General features: G+C 38.2%; 1 long non-coding RNA gene across 1 annotated transcript, besides 1 other annotated feature; it reads left to right on the top strand.

Annotated features, from left to right (window-relative positions):
* Positions 320–369: a silencer, noted in NCBI's record as "silent region_5276". NCBI's record gives its function as "represses an Ori minimal core promoter by ATAC-STARR-seq in GM12878 lymphoblastoid cells {active_cell/tissue: GM12878}" and the evidence as "EXISTENCE:reporter gene assay evidence [ECO:0000049][PMID:35858748]".
* Positions 2,404–14,232, top strand: LOC107984579 (uncharacterized). Its single transcript, XR_001749843.1, has 3 exons — positions 2,404–3,429; positions 6,486–6,577; positions 14,070–14,232. It is a non-coding gene; the product is annotated as an uncharacterized LOC107984579 (long non-coding RNA).
* Positions 14,233–15,619: the final 1,387 nt, after the last annotated feature.

Raw genomic sequence — 15,619 nt, 5'->3', positions numbered from 1 at the left:
GTTATTTGTTGATATTCTTTAAAAAGCAACAGTTTTAGTTGCAGAAAAAAATTTAGAATACAAACACAAAAGTGGTTTGTAGTGTATATAAATTTTATCTAAACACACTGTAAATAAATATGAACTCTAGTCAGTTGAAGGAACAATGGTTTTATTGAGGAAATGGCCTCAAGATGGGAACAAAAATATCCTGAAGGATTGTTGGTCCCTTTCCCATGGGGGATTGAGAGTTAAGCCCAAGGGGTCAAGAGATCAAAAAGAGAATTGTTACGAGGGATGTTTCCTAATCTACTTTTGATGTTTCCTTCCTATGCTGGGAACACAGTTAAATGACTCTGACTCTGTCCTAGATTGTGGGACAAAATATGCTCACTCCTGGTCTCTGTCTGCCATTTACTCATTTCACCCCAAGGTGGCAGTGGTGTGGTGATTTGTTCTATTGGTTAATTATGGATAACTACATTGAGCATACATAGCCCAGTTTTACCCTTCTCTTGAAAGCAAGCCATTTACAGGAAACATGCATTCTGCTCTGCTCCTCCTGGGACACGCTCTGCCCATGAAGGGTGAAAGGGCAAAAGATCTGCCTCAGTGCTCTTTTGATTGGGTGGGTAAGTGTTTCTAATTAGTGGGTTCAGCCAGCAGCTATACCAGGCTCTCCCACTAAACTATGATCTCCCAATTTCACTTCTAGTTATAAAGATGAAGTTTTGATTTCCCATCTGCCTTACTTTTTATTACTTAATTTGTTCAGAAGAGGATATGCAGGAAAAATCTCCCCTCAAAGATGCCGATGTGATTCTATGTGACGTTTTTCATTCTAAAGAGTTTTTTGAAAGCGGGGGTTTCTGTTATTCTCGGACACTTGGATGGATTGATAATGTTCCCAGTGTTTTCCCACACTCTAGGACAGAGTCAGTGACTGATGTTCCGCCTTTGATTATAGGCTAAATTGTAGTTAGGGAGGACCCAACTTTTATAACATAATGTATTTAACTTATTAAGTATTCTGCTCAATACCAGGTCCAACTTAATGTTCATGAAAAAAAATCCTTAATGTGGATAAGGATATTCACCATATTATGTGTGACTCAATGAGTTTATATGAATTACAAAAGGTTACAAAGATAATCAATACCAATCAACCAAGCCTAGTTCTGGTTCTAACTTCAGGAATCTTTTTGCCATATGATGCAGTTGATTTGCAAAATCCATTAACTCTGCTGCTTGATGAGGAGTCAGAAAAATAGTGAGCTCTGAATAGACATGATGTTCAATGGCATTTGTGTTTAAAGTATAAAATAAAATTTAAGGGAATATAGGAATTGTGATATTACCTAAAGCAGTATAGGATCCGTGGGGTCCTCCTGTTGGAGTCCAATCTCACTTTGTCTGGTTCTGAGGCAAATGAGCATCATTATCTTCCCAGCAATATTTTAGAGTTAGCAACTGCTACATCATTTTTAAATGAGAAAATACTCTGATCTCTCCTGAACTGTTCTTCTCTCCAGAATCAGAGAGGAAACTGCAGCTCTTAGAAGCTCCTCACACAATTTCTGGTTTGTAGTATCTTGAAAGTTGAGTATTGATGGTTTGCCTTTGCATCTTTTAAATTTCTTTTTCTCTTTTTCCCATCTTCATCTTTTGTCTGTTACAGCTGATAATGAGTACGGATCAGCAGAGAAACTACTAAAACCCAGTTTCTTCCCTGCAAGCCTGGCCCTAGCAAATATTAATGGAAATAGATTTCTCTTCATCTGCGGGCTGCTTCCTCGGATTGGCCTTCATGTTTCTTTCCATTCCCATCCCATCATCAGGAAATCAGCATCTTAACTGTGGAGGATAACGTCTCCTAGGGTGTTAGTGAGAGAGGAGGGCCCAAAGGCCTTGGTCAGATGGTATTTACACATTTTAGACTGGAGCTTTTCTATGTAGTCATAGTTAATGTAACAGTACAGATGTCTGCCCAGTAAACTTTCTGGATAAGATCAGTTTTCCCAGGCAGGGCTATTTACAGTTCTCATATCATAGTGTGAAGGGAGCTTTTGTATTTCCCTTGTAGGACTAAGCCTGCTCCCAGGAAATAGGTAAAATAAAACAAGGTAAAAATGAAATGTGCTATCTCGGGGACCCCAAATAAGTGGTAATTTCACTGTAGCACTCTGTAGGTGAAATTGTTTAGTGTTGTGACACATAAAGTCCTTATCATTCAAAGCCCTAAATTTAGAAGGTGATAAAAGTCTTCTGTCCTCTTGGTTTCTTTAGCTTTCTATTATTAAACCTTGAAGCAGCCAAAGGTGAATAAAGAAACCTCTTGTGTCAGGAATTGATATCTTCATTTGAGATGATGTATTCATCCATTTTTATAAATTATTATTAATGAAACAGAAACCAATAATATATTATCAGCCCAGCATATTTTAATCACATTTCTTACTATTTTATTAATAATTAAATAGTATTTTAACTAAAATATAACTAAATATTATCATCTGTGGTAATCAACTTTCACTAAGAGAGGAGGCCAGACACTTCGGTGGTTTTAAATCCTTTTTTTAAATTTCAACATCTTGTCATTGTCAAGAAGTTTCTACTGACCCCTCCCTTCTCCCAAGTGCACATCACTGAGCCTGCACTTGCATTAAGACATTCCCTTCAGATCAGGCTCTCCCAGCAAAGCGTGGACAGAAAGTCACACATTCCAAGGTGCATAGCTCCAAATATATGGATATATTCTTAGATGGAGTCAGAATCCTTGAGACAATCTGTTTCAAAGGGTAAATGTGGATGGTTTTGCAAAGATACATATAGTTTTACCCTCACTAGCTAGCTGAAATAAGTTCCTTGTGAAAAAGAGCAAATACCAATCAATTTCATCAACTCAGTATATGTTGCATATAATCAGCCCAGAAAACTGTTTTATACAACATCCAAAGCAGGCAATGAATGAAAAAAAGTGCATTTCTAACAGAGTTCCATTGACATGTATACATTCATCTAATACATATTCATGACTGGCACTTTATTGCAAAAAGTTTCAATTAATATTAACAATACTAAGGGAAGCAGAAGATTTTAACAAAGTCCTCTCCAGATGCCTTGATAAACAATAGCAATATGTAGAAATCTGGTGATTCATATTTTCTAAGAAGTTTAAAATGTATCTTAAATAGAAAATATTTTCAGAATCTGAGGTAACCACTTCATCTCTGCTAGTACTTTTCTCAGTATTATAGAGTTTTAAGAGCTTTCTCTTTAATGTCTGCTGGAAGGTGGCATTCAGCTAAGAATTAAGTCCTGAAATGAATGTGTCTTTCCTTAATTAGGAATTTCAATCAAATACCAAGAATTGACATCTTGAAGCTAAGGATTGTCGATGAAAAGAGTCAAACTCTGATAATATTTGAAGAGATTTATTCTGAGCCAAATGTGAGTGTTTAACTCAATTCTAACTCTAACTGCCCAGAGTTAGCCCAGACTTCACAGGTTAAGGGCTCAGTGCCACAAGACTGCCCCCCACTTCAGATGTCAATTGCAAGTAGCGAGTCCCCACGTTGCCACAAACTTCTGTCTGACATGGCTAGAAGTCAGAGGTTCCCACAACCTCCTCCTCATGTTTGATAATTTGCCAGAATAGTTCACAGAATCCAAGGAAAGTTTACATACCATTACTCACTTATTAAACAGGAAATTTTAAAGAACACAAATGAACAGCCAGATGAAGAGATACACAGGGTGAGGCCCAAAAGTGTCCTGAGCACAGGAGCTTCTGTCCCTGTGGAATTTGGGGGTGTCACCCTCTTCACAAATAGATGCATTCTAGTTCATCAACCTTGAAGCTCTCTGAACCTCTTTGGTTAGCATATTTATGGAGGATCTATCACATAGTCATGATTGATTAAATCATTGGCCATTGGTGATCAGCTCAGCCTTCAACACCTCTCCCTCCCCCCAGGGTTCAGGGGATGTCACTGAAATTTCCAACCCTTTAATCATGGTTGATTCCCCTGGCAACCACCCCCTCCTCACTGCCTCATGCTTAGGGGCTTTCCAGATGTTGCCTGATGAACAGAACCTCAGATGTGGTTGAAAGGAGCTTGTTAGAACAACAGAGGCTGTTCCTTTCACCTTTATCTCCCCAGAGCTGTTTCAGAAATTGGAGGCAAAAAAAACCCAAAACAAAACAAATAATATAATAAAAGATATTCCTATCACTCTTATCACTTAGGAAGTTACAAGGGTTTTAGGAGTTCAGGCCAGGAGCTGGGGACCAAGACCAAAATACATACAAACATGTCTATTTTTTCTTCTTTAGTATCATTTTATTTTTAAAATTAATTTTATTTCATATATATGAGGGCTACATGTTATGGGAGACATATAGATAGTAAAGTGGTTACTATAGTGAAGCAGATTAACATATTATCTCCTATAGTTACTTTTGTGTGTATGGCAAGAACACACAAAACAGCTAAAATCTACTTATTTAACAAAATGACAAGAACAGCTAAAATTTACTTATTTAACGAAAGTCCCAGCAATCTCTCTTCTGCATATATGCCTAAAGGAGATAAAATCACCACCTTGTAAAGACACCTGCACTCCTATGCTCCTTGCAGCATTATTCACAATTGCCAAAATGTGGAAATAACCTAAATGTCCATTGATGGAAGAATGAATAAAGAAAATGTCACGTACATTACACACAACCTAATATTATGCAGCTTTTAAAAAGAAAGAGAGCCTTCCATTTGCACAATGTGGGTGGACCTGGAGGACATTATGCTAAAAGAAATAAGCCAGACAGAGAAAGAAAAACATTGCATGATCTCACTTATAGGTGAAATATATTTCTTATATCACAGTATCATACTTGACAAAGAGTACACACTAAATAATATTTTGAATAAATGAGTGATGATTTAAAAACCTCTTGGGAGACCAATTTCCTTATTTATAAAATAAAGATGTGTACTTAGATGTTCTATAAAGTACTTTTGAGCTCAAAGAAACTTCTAAAATATCACAATTTCCTTTTTTGAAAAAATTCAATTAATTTCTCTGATTATTTATGTTAACTTAGTGAAAATTATTCTTTAGAAGATATTTGGCTGGCATGGAAGCTAAGAACTCCATGTACTCGGAAAGGAGATTGCAATGGAGAGACTCTGTATGTGGTAGCTGGATCTGAACACAAGCTCTCAGCCCGTCCAACAGCCCTTCACTGACCACCAGATTCCACTGGCAACTTTACTCATTATAGTGTAGAAGGAGGTGTTACTGGGGCTCCTCCCTGCTTCAGGAGATACCAAGGCCTCACAGGATAGATATCAAGATATCAAAGTCAGAATACAACAGGCCTCCACCATATATATTCAGATACCCAAAGCAAACGGTTTTAAGACCCCTTTCCACAACTCAACCCTTGACTGCCTCAGCCAGACCAGAGATAGAAGTCCCAGGGAGAACTTTGAGATGAGACTCGTAGACAGACTTCTTTGAAGAAAGCTAAAGCCTTTCTGTGCTGTGCAATGGGTGCTGTGGTTCAGCTCCAAGCCTAGGGAGGAGAGTTTTAGGAAAGCCACTTGGAGAGCTTTGAAATGTGTTCTCCTCAGTAGCAACCTCAGGAGGCCCAATTCTTGCCTAAGAAAACTAAAGCTGACTGTGGACCGATTGAGATTCACTGCACCCTTGAGTGTGAGAGAGCACTGCCTGGTCAGGGACAGACCCTTGGGAGCAGGGAAGAGATAATGTGGGATAAATGTAGAGCTTGTTCCTGGAGCTATGAGGAGACTTTGGGAAGGGTTAGGGAGTGACAAAAATAAATCTACATTTTGACCTTAATGCATGAGTCGTGGCTTGTACAACACTGTAGTTACATCACGCTTGCTGCAGGTTTGCTGGTTTTCTGGTGCTCCCCTGAATTGGATGTGTTGTGTTTGAAATTTTCCAAGATTGCATGTTGTTTCTCAGTAGCAGAGAAGAAGAGGCCTTGCATGAGAGCCGCCTGTTTGGGATATTGTATTACCAGTGAGCAGTACTGGGATCTGATCTGCTAAATCATGAGAAAAGATTCATGGGATCACTTGTTTAGCAGGACCTGCCTCTGGTCTTTTGTGGACACTGTGATACATGGCCTATGTGGACACCGTGATACACGGCCTAGATCCCACTTCAAGGACTTGTTCCCCCACCTGTTGGGCATGCTGTCAGCTGACAGGCTTCCCCTGTTAGGCTTTTCTGGGATTGCCTCAGTTGGCTGCAGACAACTCCCTCACTCAAGGTCAAATCCCTTTTCCAGGTGGTCTGTATCCAATGACTGACCAAGGCAGAGGGATAAACATTGGCTATTTTGACTCAACTCAAAAGTAACTCTGATGGGTTATTTGACCTTCATAGCTTCCAGTGAGGTCATCTGGAGCTCATTTGGCCTGCATTACAACTCACTTCTCCCTCTGCCTGCCTCTGTCCCCACCCTTCCACAGGTGTGGCTACTAAGGGCTCTCCCTAAGAAACATCATGCTCACTAAGTTCCCAGGAAGCCTTCCCTGCAACAGAAGCCCTCTAACTGCACCTCGTGAGTAGTTTGTATCCTTGAAATACTACTTAGTTTCAAATTTGCAAGTACACATATGCACAGTGCTGTAAAGGTGTGAGCTTAGAACAACTCAAGTAATGCATGTTTGCATAGAAATGTGTACATTTAATTGGCAACATTATAATTTGTGAAATATGTCATTTGTAAAATTTTAATCATAAGGTACAATTTCCTTGAGGCTTCTTCACAATGAACATTGAGCCCATGGTGATATCCCCAGTCTTCTTGCCCTAGAGGCAGCCACATATGCTTATGCAGAAATCAGTTTCCTGAACATTTCCATGTAGTCTGTCCTAAACAGAAGTTTCTGTTTAGTTAAAAAAAAATAGAGCATTAATAATTTTATCACTCTCTAAAGAGTAAAGCAAGAGTGACAAAACAAGTGTTACAAATTCTGTTGCTTTTCCAGGAAGAGTTGATCAAGCAATGCAATCCCAGGCTTTCAACTCCACTTCATTTTGAAACAGTGTGTGCACACTTTCATTTCAGAGACACGGTCAAATCTTCTACTTAATGAGTCTTTAAAATGAACTGTGCTCTTGCTTAGCCCATACACATTTATTATTAACTCATTATGAAATTATATTTTCCATTATGTCACAAGGCTGCACATAAGGCACTGCCTTTCCACTTGGCCCCATTAAAAACTTGATAAACACATTTATTAAAACTAACTGGTAGGGTTGAATTGTTCTTTACAGTAATTTGTTCTGATGCCAATTCTGTTTCAAATCATTGCTTCTTTAGGGCAGAGAGTGATTGTAAACCTCCGCATTTGCTCACAGGAATGTTTAAAACAGGGCCTTGCATGCAGCACACGACTTAATATCACATAATTGAATTCAACAAAACTGGTTCAATGGCACATTATTTAGCAAACGTACCTGTTTTGAGAAGTAATTTTATTATAAACTTCCTTCACCGTGACTTTATTATTGCCTATGCACTGGGAAGTCAAGGTTGATGGAGAGCAAACTTATTTGCATGTCCTCTACTCCTAATTTCACTTTCATTACAAGCACATGCCAAGCCCAAGCAAAGAAATTCTGAATTAGCTTCTGGTTCCAGCATTTCTAGTCATACCATGGAGTGTCAAAGAAGTGACAAAAAGAAGGCCCCAAGCAGGCCCCAATTCCTTGTCTCTTAGAGAATCTTTGAATTATCGATGTTTTTATTCTCATTCCTGGCCCAGTACAACTTCAAATGGGCACGTAGGCTCACACATGTCTACAGGCACACACACACACAGTTTTCATGTATTCTGAGAGGCTGCAGTAATGTGCAGAGTTCTGCATTCCTATGAGGGTATTTTGTCTTTGTACAATTTGTGGCTGTCTGACTTTACATGTTTATATGTGTGATTGTTTCACTGATGTCTAGTCTTCTCCTGGACTTCACTTCCTTTGAGCGAAGGCATTATTACTTTCTCCATGCACCTAGCACAATGCCCAGCACGCAGTAGACTTTAGTAAATGTTGTGGCCTAGCCCTGGACTTTAGAGTCCTCTATGCGGGCACAGTTGAGATTTTTCCATTTCTCTTTTCTCTTTGAAAAACGCTTGGAGTGCCTTTACAAGATTCATCATTCAAGAATGGAGCTGCCAGAGTTGTGACATTAAATAAAGTTTTTGGTGACATTGCCTTGACACTTAAATTGTTGAGTGAGTCCTAAGAGGTACTAAAGACATAAACCGGGTAGATGATATCCAAGAAAAGTGGAAAGTCATACTTTCATACTTGTGCAGGACACACATGCGTGTGCACACACACACTTTACACTTATCATGGAAGCCGTTGTTATCTTCTGCAGAGTTCCTGGATTCCCATGGAGAAAGGAAGATCAGTTCCACCTCCCACTCCTAGGGACCTAAAAAGAGAGAGCTGCCTAAATCTAGACTGCAGTTTTGGCTAGAAGGAATTTGAGCCAGGCAAAGCCAGGAATGTTAGGCAGGAACTGTAGATTCATTAAATGTGTTTTAGCATCCAAAAGACCTAGCAGCAGAAATCAATAGTTTAGAATATAAAATTGAGAACAAAAGCAAAGGCATTAGGGTAATAGAGATGAAAAAACAGCAGTAAGAGGGAATCAGCACGAGGAAAACGCCCCTTGAGGTGCATTTCCTTGTGTACGTGCTGCCCAGGACAGAACCCATCTTAGATTACAAAGAGGTTAGATGTCACGGGCAGAGACAGGCAAACACCTTGGCTGTCAGCCCAATAGTTTAGTCTTTGTATGGGAAGCAGTCTGCGCAACTTCTGAACACTTATTTATTGACACTCCTTTACTGTTGTCTTTTAAAATAGTAATAATGAATTGTGAAATTTAATGCTGTGCTTAATAGGATGTCATGGGATGTTTTGACTGAGTAAATTGGGCTCTTTAGTTTTCTAACTCCTTAATAACCAGAAAATCTTCAAACTTGTACCTGATTCAAATACATTGGTCAATGCCATTTAAACTATCAAAGTGATAATGTTCTGGCCACCAGGTGATGAAAAGTCTCATTGATTTGCATTCAAAGTTAGTGAGTGGCTTAGAACCTATGAGGCTCAGACTATACACGTCCTCTGATGGAGGAGTGCTATTCAGTATCCTGTGTTCCCTTGGAGATCTACTTATAGTTCCCTGCAGAGAACATGCCCTTTTATGTTCTGTTATTTTGTACAGTGTTTCTTCCAGTGGGAACCCCTTTGTTCTTTTCCATGCCTATGTAAATTCTACTCAATCCAGAGTTTAGAGCTGAAGCAGGAGGTGCATAATTAGTCAAACAGATAAATAATATCACATCTTGTACTTCATTTATTGATGTGTAGTAGTCAGCCTCTAAGAAAGCCCCAGTGATCCCTGCCTCCAAGTATTCATGCTTTTGTGTAATCATGTAATCTCCTCCTATTGAATGTAGGCTGGACTTAGTGGCATGCTTTTAATAAATAGAAAAAAGCAGAAATGATGGTATGCACATAACTCAGAGATTAAATCATAAAACAGCGTGCTCTCTTTCTCCTCTCATAACTTTCTCTTGGCAAAGTCAGCTGCCTCATCACAAATAACCCTATGGAGAGGCCCACGTGGTTAGGAACCAAAGCCTTGGTCAACAGCTGCATAAGTGAATTTGGAAGTACTTCCTCCAGCCCCAGTCAATCTTCAGATAACTGCAGCCCCAAGATACCCTGGGGCTTCATGAGACAACCGGAAATGGAACAACCCAGCTAAGCTGTCCTTGGATTTTTGACCCATAGAAATGATGAGATCATAAATGTTTGTGTTTTCATATGCTAAACTTTGGGGTAATTTGTTCACAGAAATAGATAACTAATACATCACGTAACCTATATTTACCAAGTTCCTACTGTGTGCTAAGGGATGTCAGGGAATACACTGTGACGATCAAAACCAGACAAATACTTCATCCTCATGAAAAAAAAACTATTATTAAGTTTTAAATATCCATATTTATTAATATTAACCTGAATGCACAAACAAGGTTTTCTGGAGCTAAGAATATTATTATTATTTACTCATGGCATATAATTTTAGGGTTCCCTTGTGCCTTAATTCTTACATCTAGTGTGACAAAATGAGAGCCAAATGCATCCTATACATAAAGGGGATTGTAGGTGAGGAACCCTGAAAGAAAATAATCCTAATTTTTATTATAGGAAAGGCAGCTGTTTCCCCTCTCCAGAAAGTCTCTTTGGTAAGGATCCTGGGTTCTTACTCTAATTTTATGGAATGAAAATAAATGTCCCCAGGGGAAATATAAGCTCAGATGTCTCCATAGTCCTGAGTCTTACCCTCCATTGAAATGTATATTTATAACTTCCATTGCTTGCTTTTAGTGGAGGTCCCAAGATTTTCCCCAGGAACCTCTAACTTTGCAGCTCCACAACTATAACATCTTCATCATAACATTAATCAGAAAATAAAAATTCTGAAGGAAGTTGAATGTTTTACAATAATGGAAATGGTAAAATAAGTAATGAAAGAGAAACTAACAATCCTGTGCATGTGGCGTTAGAAAATATCAGCTATCTAGACTCAATCTAACTAAAGATGCGGAAGGTATGCAAGATATGGAAAGCTACAAAATATTACTGAGAAAAAAATCAATAAAACAGTAACAAATGCAGGGAATATATACCATAATCAGTGATGGAAAGTCTCAATATTGTTAGGTGTCTATTCTTCCCAAATTGATTTATAGATTTAAGGCAATGCCAAGGAAAATACCAACAGGCTCTTTTGTAGAAATTGACAAGCTCATTCTCAAATTTTTGTAGCCTAACAAGGGATCCAGAATAGCCAATGCAATATTTTAAAAAATAAAACAAATGTCAAAATCAAGAGTTATTATAAATCTACCTGCTACAAATCATATACTTTATTATCGACTCTAAATTAACTGGCTTAAGGATAAATAAATAGACTAGTGTAACAGAGAGAAGCGTCCATACATGTATATACAAGCGCCTGATTTATTACTAATGCTTTATTGTAATTCAGTGGGGAAAATTACAATATCTTTAATAAAAGGTGCTGAATCAACAGGATGTCCATATAGAAAGAAAGAAATACTGACACCACCTCACACCATACACAAAACTTAATTCAACATGGGTCATAAGAAGAGTTAAATGAATCAAGCTTCTAGAAGACAACAAAGAAGAACATCCTCATGAATTTGGAGCACACAAGCATTTCCTAAATAGAACACAAAAAAGCATTAATCATAAAAGAAAATATAGGAAAATTAGATTTTATTCACATTAAGAACTTCTGTTTGTTGAAGAACATTAAGAGAATGGATCCACTAAGACAATGGACAGACAAGCTGTAAACTGGGAGGAGGTTTTTGGAACACATATATCTCTCAAAGGACTCTTATCCTGAAATATAGACTCCTACAAATCAGTCAGAGAAAGAAAGACAACCCATCCTATGCACAACCTATCGCTATTGTAAGGTTTAGAGGAGACAAGGCTCATAAACAGTACTTTAAAATTTTTGCAAATAGTTAATACTATCATTATTGCCACTCAAAGGACTAAGAGCTGTTGGCCCAACAGTTGTCTCTGTATGGGAAGCCCTCTGCACAACTTCAGAGCACTTATTTATTGATGCTCTTTTGCTGTTGTTTTTTAAAAGAGGAATAATAAATTCTGAAATTTAATGCGGTGCTTAATAGGATGGCTTGGGATGTTTTGACTGAATAAGTTGGGCTCTTTTGTTCTTTAACTCTTCAATAACCATAAACTCTTTAAACTTGTACCTGATTCAAATACATTGGCCAACGCCATTTAAACTGTAAAAGTGGTAATGTTCTGGTTATCGGGTGATGAAAAGTCTCATTGATTTGCATTCAAAGATGGTGAGGCACTTAGAACCTATGAGGCTCAGACTACACATGTCCTCTGATGGTGGGCACAGACATTGCGACACATCTTCATCTGTTCTTTGGTACAGTTGTAATTTGCAAGTCTGATTATGTCATGATTTCAGAATGTAATAAATCATTAAAATTTTTTACTGAGTCAGGAAATTATGAGCTAGAGAAAACCTTGGTCCTGCCGACTCAAACCGGAAGAGAAAGACCGTAAGCATCGGAGGAGCCGTAGAGTATGCATGGCATGGATCTCCCATAAATATCAATTTTACTCTGTTATGTAGAAGGAAAATGGCAAATAATTTAATGATGCTAGTTTAATAGTAACTAATTTGAAACATTTTTATATTAAAAATATTGATATATACTATGAAAAGTATATAAACTGCACAAATTTTCAAATAAAACCTAAGAATTCCCAGACTTTATCCACTTGCTGAGGTTCCCTTAGGCAACAAAGTCCTAGGACCCTGGGAATAAATGTTCATGTTCCTCTTAGGGAGTGAGGTTTGTGAAGCTCTCATAGTCCATCTAAACTAACTCTCTTATTTTACAGTTGAAGATTCTGAGGTCCAAATAGGCAAAGTTAGTGGCAGAGCCAGGGCCACAGCCTAGGAGTTCTGCCACCCCATCTTGAAGGTTTTCTGTTTTGTTTCCAGAATATGACTGGTGATGTTGCATGAACCATTGACAATATGCCTGAAGTTGAAGCTGTGTTCAGTGGTTTACCAATACCTCTTAGAAAAAGACCTTCATTTTTTTTTTTTGCCAAGTTGACCTGAATTCATAGATGGATTAGTCTCCACCGATTACATGACAGATATTTAGTAATTAGCCCGTAGGGTTAAATAGTGTTCTGCCAAACTCACTCAAATGGAACACAAATGCCCTGATTGAGATTCCAGCTTTCACAAGCAGTGTGCCTAAGGGCGAGCTAGAGGGTAAAGGACAACACTGTGATGTATTTGCAGTGACAACCCCTCACTATCTTGGCTTAAAAATAGCCCTGAAAAGAAGTGGCCATTAATGATCCAACATTCATGCAGGGACATATGGTTCTACTCTAATCAGAGTTATAATTTTTGGAGCATTTCTAAGGCACTGTTGTTTTTCTTTTTAAATTTTCCTTTTAAAGTTACAGAAATGGGGAAAGCAGGGATATATCAAATCTCTGCCAATCAGAATGAAATATTTTATCTAATTTTATATAATTAAATATTTTATGAGAATGTTAGTATTTTCTAAGTTTTTCTCTGAGAATAATGGGAAGAATTTGAGTGGATAAACAACTTTTAAAAAGTGCAAATCCGGGCTCTTTGGATTTTGCCAAATGCTCTGTGGTGATGGAAATGATCTGTCATCTGCTGCCCTGGAGGTCTGGAAAGGTCCTGGAGCCATCGAGAAGCTGCAGACATCATGCATTCGGCAGGGGGGTGATCTGCTTCCTTTTCCTCTGCCATGCGCATTTATGTCATACGACATTTGATTTTGGTTTTCAAGGCCGTGTGTGTGCATGTTGCATTCAGCGCGTATCCTTCCTCTTGCCAGCCATGAGACTCCATAATTTCTACTCCTGCTTGTCTGAAACAATCACCCCGACCCCCATTTCATTTTCTTACTTGAAAAAAATATATAAGTAACTGGTGATTTTTATCTGACACGGAATATGGCACCAGAAGAAATATACATATATTTTTTGGATAAAATTTTTGTGTTAGAACAGTTTTAGATTGACAGAAAAATTATAGATATAGTACAGAGAGCTCCCGTAAATGCCAGTTTCCCCTATTATCCATACTGCATTAATATGGTACATGTGTCACAATTAATGAGCCAATATTAATAGATTATTATTAACTAAGGTCCATACTTTATTCAGATTTCCTTAGTTTTTACCTAATGTCCTTTTTCTGTTCCAGGAAACATCTAGGATGCCACATCACAGTTAGTAATCATGTCTCCTTAAGTTCTTTTTGGCTGTGACAGTTTGTCAGAATTTCCTTAGAAGTTTTGAGGAGTGCTAGTTATATATTTTGTAGAATGCCCCTCAAGTGGTATTTGCCTAACGTGCTTCTCCTGATTAAACAGGTTGTAAATTTTGGGGAAGAAGACCACAAAAGAAAAGTGCCATCCACGTTACATCCTATCAAGGGTACGTGCCATCAACGTGACTGATGTAATAGTGTTAACCTCGATCGCTTGACTGAGGTAGAGTTTGTGGAGTTTCTCTTTTTTTTTTTTTGTTTTTTGAGACGGGATCTCACCGTGGCCCAGGCTGAAGTGCAGTGGTGCAGTCACAGCTCACTGTAGCTTCAATCTCCTGGACTCAAGTGATCCTCCCACCTCAGCCTCCTGAGTAGCTGGGATTACAGGCACGCACCAACACAGGCTAATTTTTCTTTTTTCTTTTCTTTCTTTCCTTTTTTTTTTTTTCTTTCTTTTTTTTTTTTTTTTGGTAGAGATGGAGTCTCACTTTATTGCCCACGCAGGTCTTGAACTCCTAGGCACAAGCGATCCTCCCATCTTGGCCTTCCAAAGTGCTGAGATTAAAGGCATGAGCCACTGCGTCTGGCCTGGAGTTTCTCAACTGTTCAGTTGTTTGTTCTCCTTTCCAGAGTGTACTCCTGTGAAGAAAGTCACTATGTGCCATGCACACTTAAGGAGAAGGAAAGCAATTACATACGTTATTTGGAATTATTCTATATGAGAGATGTGTCTTTTCTTTGCCATTTATTTCTTTATTCAATCATTTACTTACACCAGTATGGATTCATGGACATTTATTTTAGAGTTTGAGTTATAATCCAATAATACTTTATTTCGTTGGTCAAATTATTCCAGCTTTGGCCTTTGGGACATCTTTTAGTTGGCTCTTGTGTCCTTGTGTTATACTCCGATTAGCGTGTGGCTTTTTGTCTGGTTGGTTTTTTCTTTGCTTTAGCTTTTCTGTCATTACAAGATGCACTAGGATCATCGTATGTATTTCCTGCCCAGATCCTAGACATTTCTTCAAAGAACCCTGGTTTCTTTTATTACAGAATGGCATTAGAAACAAAGATCTGTGTGGTAGGTTTGTTTGTTGATATTGGGGTATGGCTGCTTCTAGGCCCTGTGTATACTAACCTGTGCCTATGTGTGTCTATATATATATATACACACATATATATATGTATATATATATATGATGTATAGATATATGTCATTCTAATATCTCAGTCCTAAGCCGTCAGCAGAGATCATTCTAGCCATTTCCCCTTGCGTACCTGTAACTTCACTCTCCAACAGTGAGAAACATGGCTCCCACCATCTGCCATCCATTTGATTAATTGTTAATTTTCAGTAAACATGTATAGTATATCACAATTATTGGCCACTCTCCTTTCAGTGAGGTTGTTCCAAACATTTGCAATAAAGTTAGACTATTTTAGCACATTCTGTGTTCCATCCCGGGATTTCTGGCCTCCTAAATAATTTTTTAAAACGTTTTCATAGATTAAAATTCGCTATCTTGGTGAAAAATTCTATGGGTGTTTACAAATGCATAATGTCATATATCCACCATTATAGTATTATACAAGATAATTTCGCCACCTAAAACATCCTGTACTTCACCCATTCAGCCCTCCTTCCTTCTCTGA

The sequence above is a fragment of the Homo sapiens genome, chromosome 13 (assembly GCF_000001405.40).
Source record: "Homo sapiens chromosome 13, GRCh38.p14 Primary Assembly".
Lineage (NCBI taxonomy): Eukaryota > Metazoa > Chordata > Mammalia > Primates > Hominidae > Homo > Homo sapiens.
This window is presented reverse-complemented; position numbering and strand designations above follow the sequence as displayed.